At 38.9% G+C, this 8,714-nt stretch overlaps 1 long non-coding RNA gene across 1 annotated transcript in view; it reads right to left on the bottom strand.

Annotated features, from left to right (window-relative positions):
- The window catches only part of LOC101928236 (uncharacterized), a 220,247-nt gene that overhangs the window by 153,782 nt on the left and 57,751 nt on the right, over positions 1-8,714 (bottom strand). Inside the window, exon 3 of the long non-coding RNA XR_007096141.1 lies at positions 366-575. This is a non-coding gene — a long non-coding RNA (uncharacterized LOC101928236). The remainder of the gene's footprint in view (positions 1-365; positions 576-8,714) is intronic.

Raw genomic sequence — 8,714 nt, 5'->3', positions numbered from 1 at the left:
TTTTGAAGGTGATTAAATCATAAGGGGAAAGCTCTCATGGATAGGATTAAGGCCCTTATATGAGGGCTTGAGAGAGTGGGTTCTCTCTCTTCTGTTCTTCTGCCATGTGAGAACACAGTGTTTGTTCCCTCTGGAGGAAGCAGGATTCAATATGCCATCTTGGAAGCAGAAATATCTTCACCAGACACAAAACCTGTCAGCATCTTGATCTTGGACTTTCCAACCTCCATAACTGTGAGAAATATACTTCTGTTCTTTATAAATTACCCAGCCTAAGGTATTTTGTTATAGCAGCATAAACAGACTAAGACATACATCAAAACAATAATCCATAAAGAATCAAAGACTAGACCTTTTAAGCTAACCTGGGGTCCACTGGACAACATTATGATGCTTTGTTCTTGGTAATCCACTTTTTGACCATGCAGACTTTCTCACAGTAGCTCTCGTTGGTGCCCTCCTCACAAACTGCCCGCACCTTACACCCCTTCCTCCTACACTGGAACACTGTCTGCCCTCCCATTGGGCAGAGTGGCTGGGTGATGTGGTGTGGTGATCTGGAAAGATCCAACAACCTGCAACAGGAGACATATAGAGAACTATATCAGGAGGCTCCCAGAAGAGAGAGTAGGCAAAAGTTTGGAAAGTAGACAGCTTTGCAATCAAAATGATGACCCAGCCAAAGAGGGTAGATTCTAGGACTGTGATCTCTGAGAGGATTTGTGGTGAGGGAACTTAGGCAGAACCCCATTTCAAAAGGCAGTAAGGGACTTTGTTCAAGTACTTCCTTCAGCAGTAAGCCTGTCCAAAGATTCAGGGCTCGTTGACAGGCAAGGTTCCCACACTGGTTACTGCTATAGCCATTGCAGCACTAGGGGGAGCCCTAAGGCAGGCTGATGCAGTGCTGGGTTGCACCCGAAGCCCATGCCCCAGAGACTAGCGCAGCACTGGGGTGCTGCTAAAAAATGCTCTGCATTACTAATCACCAGGGAAATATAAATCTAATCACCAGGGAAGTGTAAATCAAAACCACAACGAGATATCACCTCACCCAGTTAGAATGGCCATTAACAAAAAGACAAAAAAATAGCAAGTGCTGGTGAGGATGTGGAGAAAAGGGAACCCTTATACACTGTTGGTGAGAATGTAAATTAGTACAGCCATTGTGGAAAACAATATTTAGGTTTCCTCAAAAATATTAAAAATATAACAATCATATGATCCAGCAATTCCACTACTGAGTATATATCTAAAGGAATTGTAATCAGTAGGTCATCTGTTTACATAACCAAATGAAAAAACATCAGTTAAGTCAAAGAGATATCTGCATTCTCTCATTTTTCACAGCACTATTTACAATAGGCAAAATATGGAAACAATCTAAGTACCCATGACAAATGAAGGGATAAAGAAAATGTGGTGTATATATACTCAATGGAATGCTATTCATCCATACAAGAGAATGAAATCCTGCCATTTGCACAACATGGATGAACTTGGAGGACATTATAGTAAGTGAAATAAGCCAGGCACAGAAAGACAAATACTGCATGATCTCACTCATATATGGAATCTAAAAAAGTTGCTCTCATAGAAGTAGAGAGTAGTAAAGTAGTTACCAGCTTGGGTGGTTGGGGAAAGCGGAATGTGGGAAGACATTAGTCAAAGTATACAAAATTACAGTTAGATAGGAGGAAGAAACTTCAAGAGGTCTATTGTATAGCGTGGTGACTATAGTTAATGACAATATTCTTGAAAAATGTAAAGAGAGTAGATGTTATGTGCTCTTGCCACAAAAAATGATTACTATGTGAGGTAATGCATTTGTTAATTAGCTAGATTTAACTATTCCACAATGCAATGTTATCTGTCAATTTTAAAACAAATAATAAACCACATACAATATAATTTGTGAAAAAACAAAAAAAAAGCAGGGACTAAACAAGGGCAGAGGAAAGGAACTAAGAGCACCAGCAGCTAGTTGAAATGAATCCCAAGACCAAGGGAGTGATCACAAGGATGGAGACAGCGGTCTAGGAGCCAGATCAAGGACTCACTCAGTGTTGCAGATAATCATTTGAGATAACACGGGCTCCTCCAAGGCATCCTTCCCCCAGGGCTTCTGTGTGCCCATTACTCTTCTTGATGCAGCAAGAAGAAAGAATCAAATTATTGGCCATGACTACCAAAATAGGCTCTCAAAATTCATACCAGAAATTATCATATTAAAAGCTAAAATGTTTAGAGACAAACGATTGTTTTGGTTCCAAAAGCTCTGCTCAATTTCTAAAGGTCTGAACAAGAAGTTTATACTATAAACACTGGAGTTGGAAAGATCACAGGGTAATGTAAAAGCCATTTCTTTCCTCTCAGCACAGCCGCTGCTGCCTCCCTAGAACAGAGGCAAATCTCACAGTTGTGAGGAAAGAAGATAATTGGGAAAAGAGAGCAAGAAAACAAGTAATTGATATGAATTCCTGAGAAAGGGGCCTCCATGGAGCTGGGGTGAAGCCTCTAGAAGAAATTTAAAGTAGTTTTGGGAAGGAACTGAGAGCATAGTAAACTTCTGCTTCCCTTCCCAGAAATACCTAAAGCCTCTTGGAGAAGCCTATATTCAACATTAGGCTACAGCTGAAAACCGGCAAAGTCTGAGAGATGTTCTGTTAGATTGGCCTGAGCACAGCTTCAGTGAGACTCAGCACCTCCAGTGGTATAGGAAAGCAGACAAGAGTTCCCAGGGCCCCCCTTGAAAAGGGTTCAGGAAAGCAAAGAGAGGTCCTGAGATGGGGATGTTGGGCACAGGTGCCTGGAACTAGCAAATGAAGGCCCGTGGCCAGGACATAACCATATGCCAGTGCACAATTAGAAGGACCAGACAGATTGAGTTATATCTTATAGATGCCAGAAGACAGAGATGGCTATCAACCAGAATCATCCTCTTTATGAAATCCTGGATGAGAAAAAAGTTATCTCATCCCCAACCCCCAGGTCTTATATCACCCATGGGACACAGAGATACCTTGAATTGGCTGTATTAAGAGTTCTACCACAAAATGGACATAGGGGCTCAAGAGCTAAACTAAGTTGGGTTGTAGGGAAATAAAGTTACATCTTTGCTCACCTGAATTTTGTGACCGTGAAGTTTATATCTGCTAACAGATCTGGATCCAGAGTAACTCTGATTTAATGCTGAAATCTCCTAAACTACTGGTTTGGGACATCAAAAGTTTTCACTAATTGAATTGTACAGAGTTCAGAAATACATATAACTATGCAATAGAATTTTATATAAAAGCTAAGTTTCAGACTAGTGAAGAAAAGCATATTCAATAAGTTGATTTGGTATAACTAGTAACAACTTGGGGAAAAAAGACAAATCTCATCTCACTCCTTATATCAAAGTAAATTTCATAAAGATCAAAGGTTTAAACCCTGAAAAAGAAACTATAATAATGCCTAAAGAAAACTGGGTGTATTTATTCATAATCTTAGAATGAAGAAGACTTTTTAAAGAATGACACAAAACATAGAAGCATGAAGAATATTAATAAATTTAGCTGTAAAGATTTTTAAATTTCTATGCAACAAAAAATAATAATGAACAAAATCAAAGACAATTGGTAAACTGGCAATATTGTTTACAACGCATATTGTAGACAAAGGGCTAGCTTCCTAAATTTAAAAGGAATGTGTATATACCAGGTGCAGTGGCTCACGCCTGTAATCCCAACACTCTGGGAGGCCAAGGCAGGCAGATATCTTGAGGCCGGGAGATTGAGACCAGTCTGGTCAACATGGCAAAACCCTGTATCTACTAAAAATACAAAAAATTAGCTGGGTGTGGTGATGCATGCCTATAATCCCAGCCACTCTGGAGGCTGAGGCAGGAGAATCGCTTGAAGCCAGGAGGCAGAGATTGCAGTGAGCCAAGATCACTCCACTGCATTCCAGCCTGGATGACAGAATGAGACTCTGTCTCAAAAACAAACAAAAAAGAATGCACACTACAGATATACTTGCAAAAGTATTCCATAAAATATGTTCATTACAGTATCATTTTTCATTAAAAATATATATATATATATTTTTAAACTAAAATTATCTTTAATAAGGGAACTAAGGAAGCATTGCCTGAGGCAGACCATGCAAATGGCAGGTAGGGATCTTGGACAGTATAGACTTGACACAGTTATATTTCTCAGCTAACAAAATAATCCCTCATCCTTTACTGGTACCATAAGGCTTTTGTATTTTCTTTATAACTAACTTACCAAAAAATATTTATTAGAGTCCTACTATATTCTAAAGATAGTCTATTATATCTTTTCAATAGAGCTGGACCTTGAGAGATTGGTGTAATTTCACCAAGTAGAAAAGACAGGTAGGGCATTACAGAAGGCCAAACAAACATGGGGCCATGAAAGTTTATGGTGTGCTGGATGTACAGGATAGAGCACACATGTATTACACGGGGGGCGGAAAGGGGTGCAGAAACAGTGTAGCCAGAAAATGAGGCTGCAGCCAGACTCTGCTGCAGAAGCCAATGGTTTTTCAGCAAAAGATTATTATTATTAAATTTGTATTTTAGAAAACAACTCTGGCAGCTGTGTGCAGGATGGAATGAACAGAGAAGGAGGCAAGAAGGCCAGGTAGCTGGCTGATGCAATAGGTGATGAGGTCAGAACAAGGGCAGAAGATAGAATGGACAAGAGAGAGACACTGCGAACATTTTAGAGATAATATAAACAGAATGTGGCTACTTATAAGATGTGGGAAATGAAGGAGATTAAATCATTTGAGATAGTATTAACAACACATAGTTGATCAGATGTGAGAGGCAAGGAAAATGAACATATTTCTAGTTTTGTTGACTATGAGAAGGTGAAGCTTTTAATCAACACAAAGAGTCCAGAAAGGGAAGCATTTTGATAGAGGACTGGAAGACATGTTAAACTTTGGGGGCACTGGGTTTAAAGTACCTGTGGGGCACATAGGCACAGATGTCTGACTGGTATGTGGAAACGTGGCAGGAACATTGGGCGTGAAAAAGACTGCACTAGCATATAGATAATGCTAGAAGAGAAGGGTGTGGAGATAGACCTTCAGAGAATCTTTGCATTTCAGGGCTGGGTCAAGGAAGAGGAGTCAGCAAAGAAGCTGGAGAACGAAGAGAGAGTGTGGAGAAAAAGCAGTGTCCAAAGCCACAAGCGGAGTGAGCTGGGGAAGCCAGCCCTGAATGGCAGAACTACAAAGTGAGCCCAACAGAGTCCCATGGAAGGTAGGCAGCATAATCTGTCTCCTCAGCCCCACTCGATTTTCCCCTGCTGCTCTATAATTTGAAGTATTGTTCAGTTTTTCATATAAAAACTCACAAATACTTTCAAAAAAGTAAGTGGTATATTCTTTTTTTATCCTAGGGATTCATAAATATAAAAGATGAAGCAACTTTCCCTATACCACTTGGCACGTGAAGAAAAATGAAGCTTAGAGTTTCCCAGGTCTTAGTCCAAGGGCCCAGCAGCAAACCTTTCAAGCACACAAATAAACAAAACCAACAAAATAAACCAGAGTTGACCAAAAAAAAACATGCAAATTAAATTATATATTTTTTCCATTTTCATGAGAAAACTTGCTTCTGACAAAAATACTAGATTCCTTTCTTATGTTTTATATTGTTGTGTTCTTGTTCCTTTTTAAGTCTCATAAAAAAATTTCCCCATAATATTCATGTTCCTCGAATCCTGCCAAAGCCATGGACATTCCTAAAGATTAGATTTATTTAGAATACTGAGTCAACAATTTCTATGCATTTTATTTCACTAAGTTTTTGGGAGTCACTAAATGTTTAATCATGTAATTAATCCTAAAGCCCTTCTAATTGTGTTTGCTCAGGAAAAAAAAAGCTGATTCAGATTGCAATGACAGACTATTAGACATGCCTTGGAATTTATATAAGAAACCAATAAGTTAGTATAAAAATAATTGAGATGTATATATTATGACTGAAAGCTGCCAGGCCAGGTATGGTGACTCACGCCTGTAATCCCAGCACTCTGGAAGGCCGAGGCAGGCGGATCACCTGAGATCGGGAGCTCAAGGCCAACCTAGCCCACATGGTGAAACTCCATCTCTACTAAAAAAACCACAAAAATTAGCTGGGCATGGTGGCATGCATCTGTAGTGCCAGCTACTCAGGAGGCTGAGGCAGGAGAATTGCATGAACCCGGGAGGTGGATGGTGCCATGAGCCAGGATCACACTACTGCACTCCAGTCTGGGCAACAGAGCGAGACTCCATCTCAAAAAAAAAAAAAAAAAAAAAAAAAAAAAAAAAAAAAAAAAAAGACTTAAAGCTTTCAAAGCAAATAAACTTAAGATGCAAAGATGTTTTTCATAAAGAGTGTTTTTTAAAATATGCATAAGATGTATCCAAAATAAGAGCATTTTATTAAATAGCATTTTTAGGGTCAGAACTCAAACCAGACACTGGAAATGAGCTCAGCAGGTGAACAGGTAGTTGTTTTCTAAAACAAAGTACTAAGGACTCAGTGATGTAACTTGAAAGAATTATAATAATTTTTTCTTATAAAACCAATTTTTATCTATAAGTTTAAAAAACAATCTCACATTTTCACATACATATTTTAGTAACTGGAAATTTTAATTCTGAGCTAATCTAAGTTAAAATTGGCTTTCACTGGTATCAATGTGGTGAAAGGAACTTCCACAAATCCAGTAAATTCAAGAGATGCCAGAGTATCTCTAGTTTAAAATATAGCTGGTCTTCCCCTCTGGTCTTGAAGCAAGCAGTTGCTCTTCTCCCTCCAGAGCTGATCCCTTCCCCTGGACTTTAGATCCCCGTCTTTCTATCCTCCTCAAAAAATTACCAACTCCACTGGTGCCATCTTTGTGGTATTTCCATTCTCTGGCTCCATTGGATCCATTTATCTTATATGTAAATTGTGCCTCTGTCTTGGAAATAAATACATCTGTGAAAGTAACCCTGAGATCCCCCCTAGGATGTATCCCTTCCTCTTGTTCCTTTCCCCTGTCATTTCTTGATTGGTTGTCTCCACCGATTCCTTCCTTCAGCATCACCCACTCATGCCTTTACCTTGTCCCCTGTAGTGATGCTCCTGCTCACTACCCCCACTTCTACTCAAAACCATCACTTCCTGTTCATCAAATCAATGGCCTGTTCTCAAACATCATTTCTTTTGAATTTATAGCGTATGACCCTGTTGGCCAGCCCCTCCTCAATAACAAGCTGGTTCATCTAAAACTTGGATCATTTGAGTTTAACCGCAACGGTTAAGAACAAAATGACAACATTTTGTTGTCAAGCAGACCTGGCATCATTGTTTAGTAGCTATTTGACCTCAGTGAAAATTCTTAAACTCCTATCAGTCTCAGTTTGTTCATCCATAAAATGGAATAACTCTTCCTCCTAGGGGAGGCTGTGAGAATTAGATAATAAAATGCATGTAAAATTCTTAGTATAGTAAATGTTCAGTAAAAATTACCTCTCCTACTGATTACTTCCCTGTGTCCTTTGCTAACTCCTCTCCATTCTCATGTCCCTAAATGAGGATCTCTCTTAAAGCCCACGCTTTTCTCTCTACAAGCTCCCGTTTAGAAACTTCATCTACTCTTACTGTTTCCAGTATGATCACTACACTATAATCTAGTTTTGGCATCAACTTCTCTGCCAAGCTCCATCCAATCCTACTTCACAAACTAACCTTAAGGATATTTCTGTATGAATGAGCTGTCATTCCTCAAATTCAACACACAACAAAAAGAACTCATCATCTTCTATATCCTCCCAACCTCCACCAGTGGCATCACAGACATGGAATCTAAGAGTCATTCGTTAATCATTCTTCCTTCTCACCTCCCTACCCCTCACATATCCAATACCCTGTTTTTACTTTCTAATTTCTCTCATTTCCGATTATGCCTTTTCATTTCAATCACCAACACTCCAGCCTGGACCCTTATCTTTTCACACCTAGATTATTGAAATAGCCTCTCAACTTGTATGCTTATACCTCCTTCACCATCAGCAGATTAATTTTCCTAAAATGTCAATTTAATAGTACTTCTCCCTTGCTCAAAACCCATAGACACCTACTTTTCCCTCCCATTGTCTACAAGATGAATTAAAATGGCCCAGTCTTTAATTTAAGATCCTCCACATCCAGACAGTAATCAACCTTTCCAATTTTATCTTCCAACCAAAATCTTCCAGGTTAAAAACAAATTTATCTTTGTATTCTCAATATCTACCACAGTATCGGTCAATAAATAAAACTGAACTGAGCTATTCTAGCTAATATACTTCCATAATTTATAGTCATTTGTTCAGTGAATGTTAAATTTATTCTTAATTCAATCCATTTAACTAACGAATATGTATTGCCAATGTGCCTGAAACTGTATAAGCACTATAAGTATACAATATTTACAAATGAATAGTCAAGATAGGCCAATTTATGCTGTGGTAACAAACAATCCCAAAATCTTAGTGATGCTACACACAGTTTATTTGTCACTCATACAAAGCTGAGGCAGGTGAGGTTCAATGAAGCTGTCCTTCATGTGGAGTCTTGGTATCCCTGCATGATTCAATCGTGTGGACATCTGTATCAAAATATCATTCCACAATCACCATGCCCAGAGAAAAGAGCATGGAAAATCATATTCCATTCTTAA

This window comes from Homo sapiens, chromosome 3 (assembly GCF_000001405.40).
Source record: "Homo sapiens chromosome 3, GRCh38.p14 Primary Assembly".
Taxonomy (NCBI): domain Eukaryota; kingdom Metazoa; phylum Chordata; class Mammalia; order Primates; family Hominidae; genus Homo; species Homo sapiens.
This window is presented reverse-complemented; position numbering and strand designations above follow the sequence as displayed.